We start from the raw sequence: 17,631 nt of genomic DNA, 5'->3' as shown, positions 1-17,631 counted from the left end.
ATGCTCACCGGCATGCTGGAGCAGGAGACAGCCTGGCCTGTAAGTTTCTTGCTAGCAAGGACCTCTCTGCCATCCGCTGCTTGGACTGTCTGCACAGAGCTCTGGAGGAATTCAACTCTGGGCGTCTTGGAGAACTTCAGAAATAAGTTAATAAAAAGGATACACAGAGGCTCCCCAGCTGGCTCCTCTGCACCGGTGAGCATCGGGAAAGCCATGAGGGCTGAGGGCTCAGCTGAGTGCCCGTGGCCGCAGAGTTTTTGGATCCTGCAGAGCGTGATCTGTTGGGCATCAAACTCTGCCAGAGTCAAGGGAGCGGGAGGCTGAGGGTCAGGGTGGAGTAGCGCAGCCCCTGGGCGGGAGCCATCCCTTCTGTCAGAAGAATGCAGTCGACTGTCTACCCATTTCCCTGAGCTGTTCGTTCTTTCGTGTGTGTGTGTGTGTGTGTGTGTGTGTGTGTGTGTGTTGTGCGTGCACCAGAGTGGATGGTATAGACAAGAGTCTCCCTATGTTGCCCAGGCTGGTCTCAAACACCTGGCCTCAAGCAATCCTCCCGCCTCAGCCTCCCAAAGTGCTGGGATTACAGGTGTGAGCCACTGTGTCCAAGCTTTTGTGAACGTCAGGTTGTGTCTGAGCGTACAGGTCGGGAGAGGACACAGGAGCCGGGGGAGAAAAGAGGAAGCAGCAGCCGCGGGCTGTTGAGTGATGACGAGCTGTCTATGAACATTTTGCCAATTTGAATGAACTTAGCTGCCAAAAACAAAAAACAAAAAGCCCGGCAGGTCAGGCCTGGCCGAGGGGAGGGAGCCGCGGGCTGTGTTGCTGAGTGCTGCATGGGTGTGGTGACCGAGAGCAAGACGGAGGAGTGCTGCGTATGGGACTCGGCTCATTTACTCCAAACAGCTGCCTGGAGAGGCCATGGGTCACCCAGTTCGAAGCCGGGGTGAGGGAGTGAGTGGCTGTGACACCTCCAATCCTGGCCGCTCTGGGCCAGCAAGGAGGCCCTGTCTGCTGGAGTCGGGACCTAACCTTTCCTGCCTCTGACTCCCCCTCGAGCCAACTGGGTGTTTGCGGGGCTATCCCTGGTGCAGTGAGGCTGCCATAAGCCTGGGCCCCCGGGGGACAGGGCAGTCAGCACCCCCAACTCTGTCCTGGGTAAAAGCAGCTGAGGGCCACGCACTGGGCAGGACCAGGCGTCGAACAGTGGTTGTGGGCCCGGCCATTAAAGGGCCCGGGCTGAGCATCCCGGAAGCCATGGGAAGCGGACAGGACCCCCTCCCTCTGCTGAAGCCCACGGCCCCAGCTGGGTCTGCGCCAGTGTGGGCCCCAGGGTGGCACCCAGGGCTGCTCTGTTCATCTCCTGCAGGGCTTCGGGAGCGTCCCAGGAAGCGTGGGGCAGCCCCAGCTGGATCCAGCCCTGTCTGGAGAAGGCAGCCCAGGCAGATCCTGCAGAGACGAGCTCCAGTGCAGCCCCAGCTCCCCCTCTTCCCTGTGGCCAGGGGTCCCACCCAAGCAAAAAGGCCATGGTAAAGGAAGTCAAAAACTTTATTCAGCTTATAAAATTCCATGTTCCAAGAACATGCTCTAAGCATGCAGAAAGCACAGGACACTGCTCCCGGGTGGGGGCTCAGGTGGGGCCACCTCTGAAGCTCTGCTGACCCCTGGGCCAAGGCCCTGACAGACTAGCAGGCCCAGTGGTCATGAAAGCGTGACGGCCACCACATCACAAGCGTGATGGCACCTGCTGGTGCAGCTGCAGTCCCTGGTGGGCCGGGCACTCACTCTGGCAGCCGCCGTCCCCCACGCCAGCCATGGTTGTCCCGCCATACGCAGTAGTTGAGTGTGGTCGTGAAGGCCAGCCAGGCCAGGTAGGGGTAGAGCAGGCGGGCGGCCAGCGGGCTCACCTGGTACCAGGCCACGGTAGTGGCTGCCGCCGCCCCACTGACCAGCAGGAGATCCACCAAGGCCTGCAGAGATTGGGGGACGGAGGATGGGGAGGCCTGAGGCACCGCGTTCACCCAAGTGCCTGTCCCACTGCCCAACTCCCACTGGATTTGGGAGTCAGGAGCCTCACTCACCCCCACTCCACCCTTGAGTGACCTGGCCAAGCCCCTCCCCCATCGCAGCCTCAGTTTCCTCATCTGTAAAATGGGAACAGTCATGCCACCTGACCCATGCCTTGTGTGGGGTGCACATGACATGCCTGAAGTGAACTCGGTTTGTTCAAGGGTGCGGTGGTGGCTTAGGAGGTCTTGCACGTCCCTTCCCCTCTCTGAGCTTAGAGCCTCCACTGAGAGCGATGCTGACCTCCCAGCATTACTACAAGGCCCAAACAAAAACTTGCTATTTGTCAGGTGCAGTGGCTCACGCCTGTAATCCCAGCACTTTGGGAGGCTGAGACGGGTGGATCACCTGAGGTCAGGAGTTCAAGACCAACCTGACCAATATGGTAAAACCCCGTCTCTACTAAAAATAAAAAAATTAGCCAGGCGTGGTAGCACGTGCCTGTAGTCCCAGCTACTCAGGAGGCTGAGGCAGGAGAATTGCTTGAACCTGGGAGACGGAGGTTGCAGTGAGCTGAGATCACGCCACTGCACTCCAGCCTGGGCAACAGAGCGAGACTCCGTCTCAAAAAAAAAAAAATACAGAAAATTAGCTGGACATGGTGCTGCATGCCTGTAATCCCAGCTACTCGGGAGGCTGAGACAGGAGAATCACTTGAACCTGGGAGGTGGAGTCTGCAGTGAGCCGAGATCATGCCACTGCACTCCAGCCTGGGCAACAGAGTAAGACTCTGTCTCAAAAAAAAAAGGCTGCCGGGCACAGTGACGTGACCTGGAGTCCCAGCTACTCAAGAGGTAAAGGCGGGAGAATCAATCGTTTGAGCCCAGGAAGTCGAGTCTGCCCTGGGCAACACAGCGAGTCTTCATCTCTTAAAAAAGTTTAAAACTTTAAAAAAGAAGCAGTCAGCCGGGCGCGGTGGCTTACACCTGTAATCCCAGCACTTTGAGAGGCCAAGGCGGGTAGATCACCTGAGGTCAGGAGTTCAAGACCAGCCTGGCCAACATAGTGAAACCCCATCTCTACTAAAAAAATACAAATACAAATACAAAAATTAGCCAGGAGTGGTGGTGCACACCTGTAGTCCCAGCTACTCGGGAGGCTGAGGCAAGGGAATCACTTGAACCCAGGAGGTGGAGGTTGCAGTGGGCCGAGATCTCACCACTGCACTCCAGCCTGGGTGAGAGAGTGAGACTCTGTCTCAAAAAAAAAAAAGAAGAAGCTGTTATGTAGAGGGGCCAGTGACCCTGCCCACACAGTACCAGGCTTCGTGTGGGTTTTCCTACACAGTGGCCCCCAAACCCACCCCTGCAACCCCTTCTGCTTTAATAGCTTCCCTCACCGGAGGAGTCAGTAGAGGGGAGGCTCCAGGGTGTGGGCTGCTTACAGCTAGAGAGACATGGCCTTTTGTCTCCCCTGGCCCCGCCTATAGACACTGACCCAGTGTCATATGTGATGCCCCACGTCCTCCAAGGGTCGGATCCAGGGATCAGGGACACATGCTGTGGCCACACTTACCCAGCCCATTTGTCGGGCACCAAAGAAGATGGGGGGCCATGCCCAGTTCAGGGCCAGCTGCCCAGTGTAGAGGCCCAGGGGAACCACAGCCTTCTCTGTGAAGCCTCCCAGCTCTTTCCAGACCAGGTAGGAGCCGTACCTGAAACAGAGGCCGCAGTTCAGAGCACCATTAGGAACAAGGCCAGGAGCGTTGCCCACCTCCGAGTGGCACAGTGATGGTTCATACGTGACCTGACACTGACTGCTGTGTGATCTCAGGGAAGTTGCTTGACCTGTCTGGGCCTTCATTTTTCATAGGGTTGCTGTAGAGATTCTAGTTAGCACATTGGCAGTGCTTCATGCGATACCCAGCATTTAGGACACTCAGTAAATACCTGCCATTATTATCACTGTCACTGCTATGAAAGGGAAGCACATGGTGTGAATAGGTAGAGAGGAGGCTCTTAACCTAGCCAGGGCACTGCATAGAGGATGGGACATTTGGCCTGGGCCTTAAATGATGAATAGGAGTTTTCCAGGGGAGGAAACAGGACATGCAAAGGCTTTGAGGCAGATGTGAGACCCTGAGTCAGTCTGTGACTGCAGGGTGAGGTCCAGGGGGAGGCCTGATCATGGGAGCTGTTAACACAGGGCAACGATAACACCACCAGTAACAGCAGCCGATGCCCTCCAGCACTCACAGGAGCCAGGCCCTACCACTTCCCAAGCATTCACTCATTTCAGTCTCATGATGATGCCATAAGGCAGGCAGTATCAGCACCCCCTTTACAGTGAGGAGACTGAGGCGGTGAAGTGACTGAGATCTCTTGGCAGGCCATCAGTGGATAAAGTCTGGTCAGCCAGGGCCAGAGCCCCGGCTGTCACCTACTAATGAGGGGTTCGCCTTATCCAGAGCCACAGGGAGCCCCAAAATTTCCCCCGAAGAGAGGCTGGGACTGGGTGGTGTAGGAAGGCCAAGCAGGGTGGGGACACTGGAGCCAGGGAAGTGCAGGACCCTGGCTGGGCAGGGCCTGGGCCAGGAGGGGTGAGGCCCACGTGACACCCAAGTTCCAGGGCCTTATTCCCATCAGAGCCGGGCACCTGGCCTGGCCTCTGCTATCCGCCCCCTAGAGTGCCTGGCACCTGCGTCCCCACCCTGCACTGCGCTGGCACAGAACCAGGATGCAGGGAACATTTCAGAAGGCAGTCAATTCCCTGCCTCCTGGGTGTGGTCCCCGCTACAGCCACCAAGAGGCGCCCTGCCCCTCCCAGCACGTCCTTTCCGGGTGGAATTCCCCTGGTCTATTCCCAGGGGACTCAGGCCAGACTGAGCCTGAAGGGGCTGTGGGGGGTCCACACTTGCAAGCCCTGTGTCCTTGGGAGGCCTCTTATTATGGGGGTCGTTGAGTATGAATGAGACGAGCCTGGCACTGGGCAGGCGTTCAACAAAGGAGCTGCTCTTGGGGCTGTTGCTGCCGTTGTTAATCTTAGCGTCCATGCCTCTGCCCAAGACCAACCTTCACACACTAAGCCGGCCTCTGCCTGGAGCTGTGAACATGGCGGGGATGCCAGGGTGGGGTGAGCATCTGACCCATCCCCCCAGGGGCCCAGGAGGAGAAAGTTCAGTTGTGCAATCGACAGGCCCACAGCTTCCCCACCCTGGCTTGCCAAATGGGGCTGGGGAAACCATGCCATGGTCCATGGCCCGCCTGGAGAAGACCCTCTGTCCTGGGCCAGGCCTCCCCTTGCAAAGGGCCAGGCTTATCCCCAGGCCAGTGCACGCCCACCTACCCCATGGCTGAGTAGAGCGTGCCCCAGACAGGGCCCAGCACCCAGTGGGGCGGGTGCCACGAGGGCTTCTGCAGGCCGGCGTACCAGCGGAGACCCTCGCCGTGGACAAAGCGGGAGCCCACGAAGCACCCCAGGCTGGGCGCCAGCGTGAAGCCCATGGCGGGCACCCAGGGCGGGGCCATGGCTGCTGCAGCTGCTGTTCAGGGGAGCTCTGAAAGAGAAGACAGGGCTGGGTGAGGGCATTCCTGAGGCCATGGGGTCAGGCCCGTGTCTCCTCCAGCATCCCCGAAAGGCCTGTCACCCACAGATCAACCAGTCAGCTGATCAGGAGGCGCAGAGATGTGCGGGGTGGGAGTGGCTGAGTGAACGCATTTCCAGCCTTGCTCCTGCCCCAGCTGCCTCGCCTCACCTTTGCCCACCCTCACCTCGACCTTGGGTCTCTGGCACTGACCCCTCCTCTCTTCCAAGGCCAGTTTGGGTCCCCTCCACCAAGAAGCCTTCCCAGCCTGCCTCCCTGGGTCAAGTCCCCGTCCTGGGAGCTCTGCCAGGCCAGTGCTTTACGTTCCAGCACTTCACATTCACCTTTCACTCACTCACTCACTCACTCATTCATTTGGTGACTGGTATCAGACAGAGTTTGGGTCTAATCCCCTTCCTCACTGCCTCACTGTGACCTCAGGCAAATCACATCAACTCAGGGCCTCAGTTTCCCCCTCGGTAGAGTGGGATATCAATGCTCACCTACCTTGAGCACAGCTCAGTGCACAGCAGCAAGGAAGGTCTCTACACAGCTGTTTCAGCACCCCACACGGGCCCCAGTAAAACCACCGCCCCTTCCCCATGCACCGGAGACAGAGAGCAGCCTGCCTGGGGCCACACTGCACTCTGGCCCAGGCTCTGCCCTGGTGGCAATATGGCTCCCACCCTGACCTCATCCAAAAACAAAGGGCTAAGCTCCCACTCACTCTGATTCTAGGTGGAGAATCAGGAGTCGTCTGCTCTTGTCTGAGACAAGAAGCCACACAACCCGATTCAGTTCTGCCAACTTGCAGCAAGGCCTGCTGGGGCGAGGGCTAGGACCCAGGGGGGCACAGGGCTGGGGAGGCCCTGAGTGGGCACAGACTGGTGCTGAGGGAGCCTGGACCTCAGAAAGGGACCCTCTGACCAGGGACCAGGGAGGAGATGCCACAGGAAGAATACTGAGCACTTTCGTCCCAGGGGAACACGAGAGACAAGCAGTCCAGGGGACATGGAGGCAGCCAAGCGGGGGTAGAGGGGTGTCAGCAGAGACTGTGCTGAACTTGGGCTTTGGCAGGGGCAAAGGGCAAAGGGCAAATCTGGCCCCAGGGAGAAGGGGCGGCTGCTGGCCTGGGATCCATGGAGCTGGGTGAGCACAGAAGCAACCTCAGTGCCCAGCAGCCAGGGACTATTAAAGACTGGCCCCCCACAAACCAAGCTTCTGAAGGCTTTCTAGTAACGAGAAAGTTGTTCTCAACATAACACGAAGAAAGCAGAATATAACATTGACTACAGAATGACCCCAATTTTGGCAAAAAATGGATAACATAGATATGCGCTTTTTTTGAGACAGAGTCTTGCTCTGTTGCCCAGGGTGGAATACAATGGCGCGATCTCAGCTCACTGTAACCTCTGCCTCCCAGGTTCAGGGGATTCTCCCGTCTCAGCCTCCTGCCTCCCAAGTAGCTGGGATTACCAGCATGTGCCACCATGCCGGGCTAATTTTTGTATTGTTAGTAGAGACAGGGTTTCACCATGTTGGCCGGGCTGGTCTCAAACTCCTGACCTGAGTTGATCTGCCTGCCTCAGCCTCCCAAAGTGCTGGGATTACAGGCGTGAGCCACCGCGCCCGGCACGTTTTAAAGGAACAGAGTGTCAGGCATCCAGCAGATTCCGGTGCTGCCACTTACTATGATTCCCTCCCCTCCCTGGACCTCAGTTTTCTCGCCTGTTGAATGGGGACAGTTACCCCATCCCCCAAGGTCGCTGCAAAAATGAGCAGTAAGGATGGACATTCTGGGGGGGTGGGCATGTGACCTATGTCCCGGCAAGAAACGTTCCTGTGTTCTCCCTCCCGCTCCCTCCTGCCCCGCCCCTCCCTCCTGCCCCGCCCCGCCCTCCTGCCCCGCCCTCCAGCTTCCAGGGTACACGTGCTCATGGGGTGGGGATGGGGGTCTGATGTCACTACACATATGAAAGGCCACCCTCCCTGGGGCAGGAGGTACTGCTGAGCACTGGCCCTGCACCACCGCCAAGTGGATATGGAGCTCTGGACCACAGCCCTGGGACCACCTCCCAGCTCAGCCTCCCACTACATCCTCTCAGGTAAGCCCAGGCCAGCTCAGCCTACTGCTCATCTGGGCAACCAAGACATAACCGCTGCTCTGCTGGAGCCTGCGTGAGTCCACAGCTGAGTGACATTGTGGGGGAACCATAAGGAGCCTCGTTCAGCCTCCACTGGAAACGAGCCGGACCAGGGTGCCTGTACGTGCCTTTTCCCAGGACACCCTCAGTTGAGGCCCACCTGCCCCACACTAATGGCCTGCTCTCACTCACAGGTGTCCCTGTCCAGGCGAGCAAGGTTAATACCACCAGCATAAGACACGTGGACATCCCGAACCCCTTGATACGACATGGAAGCTGGTGCGCTTTCAGTGATGTTCATGCCACAAATGGAAACCCCCAGTGCAGGCGTGAGCCACCGTGCCCAGCCTAAAATTAACCGTTTTAAAGTGCACCATTCAGCAGCATTTGTATATTCCCAATGTTGTGCAACCACCCTCTGTATCAAGTTCCAAAGCATTTTCAACCCCTAAAAGAAACCCCGTATCCATCAGCAGTGGTTCCCCTCCCCCTCCCTCCCACCCCTGGCCGCCAGCAATCTGACTTCTCTCTGGGGACTTGCCCATCCTGGACATTTGGTATCAATGGAATCACGCAGTGTGTGGCCCTCGTGTCTGGCTTCCTTCACTGAGCGCCATGTTCTAGAGGTCCTCACCTTGTAGCACGTGGCAGAACTCCCCACGATTCTGTCACCTGGCTCCAGCACCCAGCCAGGGCCAGGCACACACTCGGTCCCCAGGAAATCACAATGGGACTCACCCAGTGTTCCCACTGACAGGGCCTTAGAGACCACCATCCAGGTCCCCCGTTGTATGGAACGAATAAAAGTCACAGAGGCATGGTGGCTTTCCCAAGGCCACAGCAAGAGAGCAGGGTCTGAAGCCAGTTCTGAGTCCCGTGCTCACACTCCCACCCCAGGCTGCCCCCTTCTCAGGCCTGGCTGTGGTTATGACCCACAGGGCCAAGGGGCTCAGAGGGTCTGCCCCACCAGAAAACAGGCGGTCAGATGCCCCACAAGGAGAAAGCCTGGTCGGGGGCGGGGAGTTTCCTAGGGCCTCTGGGGAACTGCCCAGCTCCTGAATTGCCCAAATGGGGAACAGGTGGGCAGGGGCGGTACCCACCATGATGAGTCATGCTGAGCCAGGCTAGGCAGGATCCAGATATCTGCTCTGGGATGAGTCCAGGGAAAGCTGGGGTGGGCCAGGCCAGGGGGCACACATGGCAGGGACAGGACTCAGGCTCAGGCAGAGGGGTGAAGCCACCTATACACCCTTTATTTGTCTCCTTCAGAAAGCGAATCGGGATCCAGACCTCGGCTCTGCCTCCATCCAAGGCTCGTCTCTGGGCCTGGCTTCCTCCAACGTCAGGTGGGTAAACCCGCTGTGTCTGCTTCTTGGGGGGCTGGGGTAGCTCAAGGGAGGAAGGGGTGGGACAACAACGTTTCCCTGAAAACTCCAGAGAAGAGAGGGGTTGTGGGTATCAGTGTGGGGCCACTAGCCCCATTTCCTCCAGGGGAAGACAGGGCCTCAAGGCTTGGACCTGTGACGAGACCTTATCAGCCACGAGAGCCCCTGGACACTCCACAGGTGAAAATGCCCTGCACGGAGCAGCGCCCCCAAAACAGGGGCAAGATCGGGGCAGGGTAGAGGGCGCAGGACGTAGAGGCAGGAGAAGGTTCCAAGCCTTGCTCAGCTCTGGTTGTGCACAGGCCTCTGGTAGGCAGGGGCCTGCGTGGTGGAGTCCGTGCTCATCCCGACGGTCACCGCCTTGTTCAGTCCCCACAGCAGCCACAGGGGACCAGCTGCTTCTCCCTGAGCCACACGGCCCACTCGGCCTCCATGGTGGACTCGTGACTGGTCCCATTTTCCAGATGAGGAAACTGAGACATGAGAAGTCACAGAACTTTCTAGGTCCGAGTGACTCCAAAACCCACCCCACCCCTCCCTTTGAGCTGGGTGTCTGCCGGGCTGCTCTGGGCCGCGTGACCACTTGCCAGGAGTTGTGTCACCGCCCGTCTCAGCCTCCTTCCTCATCTGAAACAGGGCTCATAGAGCCTGCGGCGCCAGGATTGGACCCGCAGGCCACTCCACCCCACCTCTGAACGGTGCCAGAAGGTTCTCTCAGGGCCAGTAGCATCACTCTCTCCACCTGCCGCGGCAACATCCCAGCCCCCACAGAGCATCGGGCCCTGCAGAATCTGAGCCCTTCCCCACTGAGGGTGGGACCCAGGGTCTCCAGGTCTTGTGAGGCTTCACTCCTGGCCCGAAGACCCCAGACCCATCGCTGCCCCAAGGTATCTCATCTCCTGAGCCTCTGTGTCCCCATCTATGAGGTGGTGGTCGAGCCAGTGGGTTTCAGGGTGTCTTTCTGTTCTTGGAGACCTCCCTATAGGTGACCCAGAAGGCCAGGAACGGTGGCTCACACCTGTAATCTCAGCACTTTGGGAGGCTGAGGCAGGCAGATCACCTCAGGTCAGGAGTTCGAGACCAGCCTGGCCAACATGGTGAGACCCCGTCTCTACTAAAAATAAAAAACTAGCCTGGTGTGGTGGCGCACGTCTGTAATCCCAGCTACTCAGAAGGCTAAGGCAAGAGAATTGCTTGAACCCGAGAGGAGGAGGTTGCAGTGAGCCAAGATTACGCCACTGCACTCCAGCCTGGGCAACAGAGCAAGACTCTGTCTCAAAATAAATAAATAAATAAATAAAGCAAACAAAAAAAAAGAAGGCGACCCAGAAACACAATAAGGAATGTGTCCCTTCTCTGATCCCCACCCCGACCCCCAGCTGCACCCACTCCCCTGAGCCTTGTCTCTCCAACGAAGCCAGCACTGTCCCAGGGACTTGTTTTCAGGCTTTTTAAAAATGATTCATGGCTAATCGTCCTCATCGTAACCTTTGTGTGCATTTTTCATTACAAAAGTAACCAGTGAAACAGCCCACAGGTCTGGAAAAATCCACAGCGAACCTGGCCATCGAGTGGCCTGGGAGAGGGTAGGGTGAGGGTGGGGTATCCAGGGGGAATTGGTTCTGTTAAGAAAGACTACTTCCCTTTCCTTCGAGGTTCGGGGGTTAAACTTTTTTTTAGTAAAAAATAAAGAAACAGCCTGGCCGACATGGTGAAACCCATCTCTACTAAAAATATAAAAATTAGCCAGGCTGAGGCAGGAGAATCACTTCAACTCTGGAGGCGGAGGTTGCAGTGAGCCCAGCTGGAGCCACTGCACTCCAGCCTGGGCAATGGAGCGAGACACCGTCTCAAAAAATATATATATAAATAAAAATAAGAAATTAAGAATGACTTCCCTAGTGGTCTAGTGGTTAAAAAAAAAAATAAAAAAGACTACCGTTTTAAACAGAGAGCACATCCAAGCATTGTTTGCACCATCAAAAGTAAAGAAAACACAAATAAGCCGGGCGCGGTGGCTCACGCCTGTAATCCCAGCACTTTGGGAGGCCGAGGCGGGTGGATCATGAGGTCAGGAGATCGAGACCATCCTGGCTAACAAGGTGAAACCCCGTCTCTACTAAAAATACAAAAAATTAGCCGGGCGCGGTGGCAGGCGCCTGTAGTCCCAGCTACTCGGGAGGCTGAGGCAGGAGAATGGCGTGAACCCGGGAAGCGGAGCTTGCAGTGAGCCGAGATTGCGCCACTGCAGTCCGCAGTCCGGCCTGGGCGACAGAGCGAGACTCCGTCTCAAAAAAAAAAAAAAAAAAAAAAAAAAGAAAACACAAATAAGCCAGGAACAGTGGCTCATGCCTGTAATCCCAGCACTTTGGGAGGCTGAGGTGGGAGGATCGCTTGAGCCCAGGAGTTCTGCAGGAGACTGCAGTGAGCTATGATTGCATCACTGCACTCCAGCCTGCATACCAGAGTGAGACCCTGTCTCAAACAAACAAACAAAAACAAGAAAGGAAGGAAGGAAGGGGAAGAAAGAAAAAAAGAGAAAGAGAAAGGAAAGAAGGAAGGAAGGAAAGAAAGAAAGAAAGAGAAAGAAGAAAGAGAAAGAAGGGGTGGGAAGGGGAGGGGAGGGAGGGAGGAAGGAAGGACGGAAGAAAGGAAGAAAGCAAGCTAAAGTGAAAAGTAGGCTCCCTCCCTGCGAGCCCAAGCCCCTCACCCCAGCTGGAGAACCCGCTGTGAATACTTTCTGGTAGATCCAGCCAGACATCCTGCCTCACGCCAGGCACAAGTGTGTACAGACGACAGGACACAGCACATGTGCACACACACACTCCCAGGAAAGAAAGTGGTCCTCGGGGCACAGTGGAGAAGGCAGGCTGGGATCAGCCTGCACGGGTTCTGGCCCTGGCTCCACCGCGCCAGCTGCGTGACTCTGGACAAAGGCTTCTTTGGCAAGCCTCAGTTTCGCCGAACCTCCCTGTGGGGCTGCCAGCAGCCAGGTGGAGACTCAGGGGCCGCCTTCCCCTGCTGGGCTGAGGCTGGCTCTCCTGTCCTTGCCACACGGCCCCTTTCACCGCCAGTGGAAACCTGCCTCAGGCTGCCCTGTCCCGGGCCCCACCGACTCCACAGAGACGCCGGGCCTCGCCCACTGTTCTGGCAGTAGGCCTTCATGGGCAGGGCTTGCTGTGTGCCAGGCAAGCTGGGCGGCTGCTTCCTGTACACCACCTCCCCTGATATCCTCGCCCTGCCTGAGCCCATTCTGGGACAGCCTCAAGTCCTGTCTCTCCTGCCATCCAGCCCAGGGCACGCTGCTGGTATCCCGTAGCCCTGGCCCCTGGCAGGCTGGCCAGAGGGGCTCCAGGCCCACGCCAGGCCATGGCCTCTGGCAGCTGCCCTGGCCAGCAGCGCGTTCACAGCAGGAAGCCCCCGCTTCTCCTACCTGGGCTCCGGCTTCTTTGCAAGGGGTAGGGGAAGCAGACAGGTCCCAGAGGCTGCTCGGCTCACAGTAAGACCCGTCTAGGCTGCAACGCACCTGAGCCCCGCACTGGGAATCGAGGGCCAGGGGGCCTCTAACCGGCTTTGGGCAAAATAAACTTCCCCGATCTGGACTGTTCTCCACTACGAAACGGGGTGTCTCGGAGATCAAGAGCCCGAGGTCTCCCAGATATTCTGAGACCCTCAAGGGAGTTCCGCCTGGGATTGCCCATCCGCGGAATGGGCAGGAGAGGGAGCGTCGGCCACTCCTGGGACCGCGCTTCCTGCAGGAGAAGCCACGCGGCCAAGGGCTGGGCGTGGCAGGGTTGTCCAAGTTTTCCCTCCCGAACCCCCAGCCGGAGGCGGCCCGCGCTGGAACCCCGGCCGCGGAGGCCCAGACTCTGCTGCCCGCCGCCCCCTGACCCGGTAGCCGAGCCCCAAGTGCTGCCCCGGGTCGCCCCCTCGGGTGTCCAGTCTGCGGCTCCGGCCTCAGTTTCCCTCTGTCCCGCGGCGCTGCCAAGAGTCGCAGCCATGCGGGCCCCCACTTCCCGCTGCCCCCTCCGCGTCCCGTCCTCACTCACCAGCGGCGAGGGCACGCTCCGGGAAGGGCACTGCCTGGCAGGAGTTAGCCAGGCCGCTGTCCCCGCATCCGCCCCGCCCCTCCCAGCCGCCAGGCCCCGCCCCTCTCAGTCGCCCGGCCCCGCCCCGCCCCGCCTGGCAGCCCGGGCACTGGGCCCACTCGCGTCCCCGCGGGACCGGGAGCTCACTCCTCAAAGCCACCTCTCCCGCGGGACGCGCTTCTGCCTCCCCCCGGCCGCGAGCAAGTCTCTCGGCTCCTCCTCCTCCCCATGGTGACCGGTGACGGCCGCCCGGCCAGACCCAACATCTAAAACGTTGCCGTGTGTCCAACGGCGTGTCGTTTGTCGTCTCTTCTAGCCTCACTTTTCCCATCTATAAAATGCAGCAACAAGACCGATCTCCGAGTGGGGAATTACCTCTCCTGAGGCCAAGGCCCTGAGCGTCCTGCTGCCCAGCAGCCTTGGCCCCATTTCCGGAGCACCCCAGTTCCTTGAGCTGTTGACGCAGGGCACGGAGGCAGCGCGCTGCACTCTTAGTCCTGGCCCAGCCACTTTCTGACTGGCTCTCTGGGCCTCCATCTCCTCATCTGTAAAATGGGCACAAAGTCGTGGGACTGATGAGGCCGCAACGCGGTGATGCAGGCAGGACACCCCTCAGATGCTCGGCGCTCAGTGAGGGGAGGCTGCCATCATCACAGCCCAGAGGTGGCCTCCAGCTGCCCAGGTCCACTCCCATGCAGGGTGTGTCCAGCCCCAGGCCCTTGGCACTATGGCTGTCTTGCTGCAGTTCAAGGCTGTCCCAGCTCCCTCCAGACAACTCAGCCTGGCAACGCCCCATCAGCCTGAACCAGCCACGTTGGCCCAAACTGATCCTGCAGGGTCCAAGGAGAACTGTGGCTACTTCTACCCAGACACAGAAGCCAGGAGCCTCCTTGGGGACCAGCCAGGCTGCAGTATGGCTTTCCTAGGACCTGGCATTTTTGCCTTTGTGAGCCTCTTCCTCTATTAAAAAACAAACATACATAAATCTATTTTTTACTGTGTTGGCCTGAAGACAAGGATAACCCAGGCTTGGTTCCATTCTTCATTCATCTTTTTCTTCTGGGTTTCTTTTTTTTTTTTTTTGAGACGGAGTTTCGCTCTTGTCTCCTAGGCTAGAGTACAATGGCACAATCTCGGCTCACTGCAACCTCTGCCTCCTGGGTTCAAGTGATTCTCTCCTCCCTCAGCCTCCCGGTAGCTGGGATTACAGGCGCCTGCCACCATGCCCGGCTAATTTTTGTATTTTTAGTAGAGATGGGGTTTCACCATGTTGGCCAGGCTAGTCTCGAACTCCTGACCTGAAGTGATCCACTGCCTCGGCCTCCTAAAGTGCTAGGATTACAGGCGTGAGCCACCGCACCTGGCAGCTTTGTTTTTTTTTTTTTTTTTCTTTTTTAAAATTCCTTCTGGCCAGGCACGGTGGCTCATGCCTGTAATCCCAGCACTTTGGGAGGCCGAGGTGGGTGGATCACTAGGTCAGGAGTTCGAGACCAGCCTGGCCAACATGGTGAAACCCCATCTCTACTAAAAATACAAAAATTAGCTGGGCATGGTGGTGTGTGCCTGTAATCCCAGCTACTTGGAAGGCTAAGGCAGGAGAATCTCTTGAACCCAGGAGGCAGAGGTTGCAGTGAGCTGAGACGGTGCCACTGCACTCCAGCTTGGTGACAGAGCGAGACTCCGTCTCAAAAAAAAAAAAAAAAAATCCCTTCTTAGCCGGGCGTGGTGGCTCACACCTGTAATCCCAGCACTTTGTGAGGCCGAGGCCGGTGGATCACCTGAGGTCAGCAGTTCGCCACCAGCCTAACCAACATGGTGAAACCCAGTCTCTACTAAAAATACAAAAATTAGCTGGGCATGGTGGCAGGCGCCTGTAATCCCAGCTACTCAGGAGGCTGACACAGGAGAATCGCTTGAACCGGGAGGTGGAGGTTTCAGTGAGCCAAGATCACGCCATTGCACTCCAGCTTGGGTGACACAGTGAGACTCTTTCTCAAAAAAACAAAACAAAAAATAAAATAAAATAAAAATAAGACACACATGTGGCTGGTTGCAGTGGCTCACGCCTGTAATCCTAGCACTTCGGGAGGCCGAGGCAGGCAGATCACTTCAGGTCAGGAGTTGGAGACCAACCTGGCCAACACGGTGAAACCCCATCTCTACTAAAAATACAAAAATTAGCTGGGCGTTGTGGCGGGCACCTTTAATCCCAGCTACTCGGGAGGCTGAAGCATGAGAATCACTTTAACCCGGGAGGTGGAGGCTGCAGTGAGTCGTGATCACACCTCTGCACTCCAGCCTGGGTGATAAAGCAAAACTCAATTTAAAAAAAAAAAAAAAAACCACACACGTGTACACATTACAACAATAATACCAGGTGTGCCCATTCCCCAGTTATGACCAGAACATTACGAGAGTCCTAGGAGCGCCCTGGTGACCTCCCCAGCGATTCCTCCCCTCCCCAGAGATCACCTTTACTTTGACTTGGGTTGATCACGCCCTTGCTTTCCTTTAGGGTTTTATGAATCCCACCCGGGTGTGTTTCCCTGAGTACTATGTGTGCAGAGAGGCAGCACACCCCCAGCTGGGGCAGAACAGGCACCATGGCCAGGCCAGAAGACTCCCGGGAAGATAAACTCAGCTGAGCGCCTGGGGTACAGGCTGGGCCCGGCCTCTGTGGGCACTGACAAGAGGCCCCTCTGGGGCAGGCAGAGGGCATGGTTGTGGGTGGGGCTCCCCTGTGAGGACGTTGAGCACAGCTGTGGCATGCGCATTCAGCAGGAAATGGTCAGGGGCATGAGCTGTTCTGTCTCTTGCTTCTGAGCTCACAGTGCCCTGAGGAGTAGGGTGCTCAGACCTCAGGAGCAAGGTGAGGCCTGTCAGGTGAGCCATGTGTCCTCAGCAGACCCAGGCAGCAGGGCGAGAACAGGGCTTCCTCAGCCTGTGATAGGGACCAGTCAGGTGCAGGCAAGATTCTGGGCCAGCGTCAGGTGCAATGGCTCAAGCCTGTAATCTCAGCACTTTGGGAGGCCGAGGTGGGCGGATCACGAGGTCAGGAGATCAAGACAATCCTGGCTAACACGGTGAAACCCCGTCTCTACTAAAAATACAAAAAAATAGCAGGGTGTGGTGGCGGGCACCTGTAATCCCAGCTACTCGGGAGGCTGAGGCAGGAGAATGCTTGAACCCGGGAGGTGGAGGTTGCAGTGAGCCGAGATCATGCCACTGCACTCCAGCCTGGGCAACAGAGTGAGACTCTGTCTCAAAAAAAAAAAAAGAATCTGGGCCAAGCTTGTGGGGCATTCTGTACCTAAATGAGCAGCATGGCAGTAGGGATGTTGGTAATGCCAGCTCTCAACACATCTCAAGTCACGCTGCTCCCCGCTGGACAGGCTGCACAGGTCCAGTACACACACCATGCCCGGGTCTTTCTTCACCACCTCCGCCCCCTCCTGCATGGGTCCTTATTTCCTGGATTTCACATCTTCCTCTTTCTTGGTCCCCCCTTGCTTGTGTTGAGCCTATCCTCCAGGAGTTCTTGAGAAAGACTGCCCGGAAGGTAACATTGCTGAATTCTTGCATCCTACCCCATAGATGGCTGATGCTTGGCTGAGCTGCAGATCGTTGTCCTTCAGAATCATGAAGAGATGCTGTTGGCCAGCTGCCACACTGCGGTTGAGCAGGCTAAAGCCATTCTGTTTCGGAAGTCTTTGGTTGTTTTTTGTTTTGTTTTTATTTTTTTGTAGACACAGGGTCGCGCTATGTTGCTCAGACAAGTTTCCAACTCCTGGGCTCAAGCAATCCTGCTCCGGCCACGCTGTGGATCCTTTATATGTAACCGATTTTGTTCTTCCTGGAAAGTTTTTAAGATTTTGGGCCCCAGAGTTCTGCAGTTTCACACTGATATTCCCCTATGTGGGACTAATTTTTTTTTTTTTTTTTTTTTTTGAGACCATCTCACTCTGTAATCCAGGCTGGAGTGCAGTGGTACGATCTCGGCTCACTGCAACCTCTGCCTCCCGGGCTCAAGCAATTCTCCCTCAGCCTCCCGAGTACCTGGGACTACAGGCGAGCTCCAACACACCCAGCTTCATTTCCTCCACTGTGCCTGCACTCAACAGGCACTTTCCCGCTGGAAGCTCATTCTTTACTTTTCAGAAGTTGGATTATTTCTTTGATTTCCTTCCCTCTATTTTCTCACTTCTCTTTCTTTTCAAATTTATGTTGTGCAGCAATCACTTCCTTTCTGGAACTCCTATTACTCAGAATGTAGGGCCTCTAGGGCTGTTTTTCTAACTTCCTTTTTCTCTCTCTCTTTTTTTTTTTTTTTTTTTTTTTTTGAGACAGAGTCTCACTCTATTGCCCAGGCTGGAGTGCAGTGGCATAATCTTGGCTTACTGCAACCTCTGCCTCCCGAGTTCAAGGGATTC

General features: G+C 56.8%; 1 protein-coding gene across 5 annotated transcripts, besides 6 other annotated features; it reads right to left on the bottom strand.

Moving 5' to 3' along the window:
* Positions 715 to 1,217: an enhancer, noted in NCBI's record as "H3K4me1 hESC enhancer chr22:43559556-43560058 (GRCh37/hg19 assembly coordinates)". NCBI's record gives its function as "activates a minimal SCP1, AML or CMV promoter by ChIP-STARR-seq in naive H9 embryonic stem cells {active_cell/tissue: H9 hESC(naive)}" and the evidence as "EXISTENCE:reporter gene assay evidence [ECO:0000049][PMID:30033119]".
* Positions 1,218 to 1,721: an enhancer, noted in NCBI's record as "H3K4me1 hESC enhancer chr22:43559052-43559555 (GRCh37/hg19 assembly coordinates)". NCBI's record gives its function as "activates a minimal SCP1, AML or CMV promoter by ChIP-STARR-seq in naive H9 embryonic stem cells {active_cell/tissue: H9 hESC(naive)}" and the evidence as "EXISTENCE:reporter gene assay evidence [ECO:0000049][PMID:30033119]".
* TSPO (translocator protein) lies at positions 1,525 to 13,208 on the bottom strand. Of its 5 annotated transcripts, none has more exons than XM_047441479.1 (4): positions 8,829 to 13,208; positions 5,347 to 5,557; positions 3,577 to 3,715; positions 1,525 to 1,964 (listed from the first exon to the last, which is right to left on the bottom strand). In XM_047441479.1, the coding sequence occupies exons 2-4, from the start codon at positions 5,526 to 5,528 to the stop codon at positions 1,776 to 1,778; spliced, it is 510 nt and encodes a 169-aa protein (XP_047297435.1). In that variant the 5' UTR covers positions 5,529 to 5,557; positions 8,829 to 13,208; the 3' UTR covers positions 1,525 to 1,775. The 5 variants fall into 5 exon arrangements, 4 of the variants coding, with proteins under 4 accessions (XP_047297435.1, NP_000705.2, NP_001243460.1 ...); NM_000714.6 differs by having other exon boundaries at positions 13,163 to 13,208; NM_001256531.1 differs by having other exon boundaries at positions 12,640 to 12,834.
* Positions 7,164 to 7,684: an enhancer, noted in NCBI's record as "H3K4me1 hESC enhancer chr22:43553089-43553609 (GRCh37/hg19 assembly coordinates)". NCBI's record gives its function as "activates a minimal SCP1, AML or CMV promoter by ChIP-STARR-seq in naive H9 embryonic stem cells {active_cell/tissue: H9 hESC(naive)}" and the evidence as "EXISTENCE:reporter gene assay evidence [ECO:0000049][PMID:30033119]".
* Positions 12,516 to 12,615: an enhancer, noted in NCBI's record as "active region_19186". NCBI's record gives its function as "activates an Ori minimal core promoter by ATAC-STARR-seq in GM12878 lymphoblastoid cells {active_cell/tissue: GM12878}" and the evidence as "EXISTENCE:reporter gene assay evidence [ECO:0000049][PMID:35858748]".
* Positions 13,237 to 13,456: a silencer, noted in NCBI's record as "silent region_13856". NCBI's record gives its function as "represses an Ori minimal core promoter by ATAC-STARR-seq in GM12878 lymphoblastoid cells {active_cell/tissue: GM12878}" and the evidence as "EXISTENCE:reporter gene assay evidence [ECO:0000049][PMID:35858748]".
* Positions 16,666 to 16,875: an enhancer, noted in NCBI's record as "active region_19185". NCBI's record gives its function as "activates an Ori minimal core promoter by ATAC-STARR-seq in GM12878 lymphoblastoid cells {active_cell/tissue: GM12878}" and the evidence as "EXISTENCE:reporter gene assay evidence [ECO:0000049][PMID:35858748]".

This window comes from Homo sapiens, chromosome 22 (assembly GCF_000001405.40).
Source record: "Homo sapiens chromosome 22, GRCh38.p14 Primary Assembly".
NCBI classification, from domain to species: Eukaryota; Metazoa; Chordata; class Mammalia; order Primates; family Hominidae; genus Homo; species Homo sapiens.
This window is presented reverse-complemented; position numbering and strand designations above follow the sequence as displayed.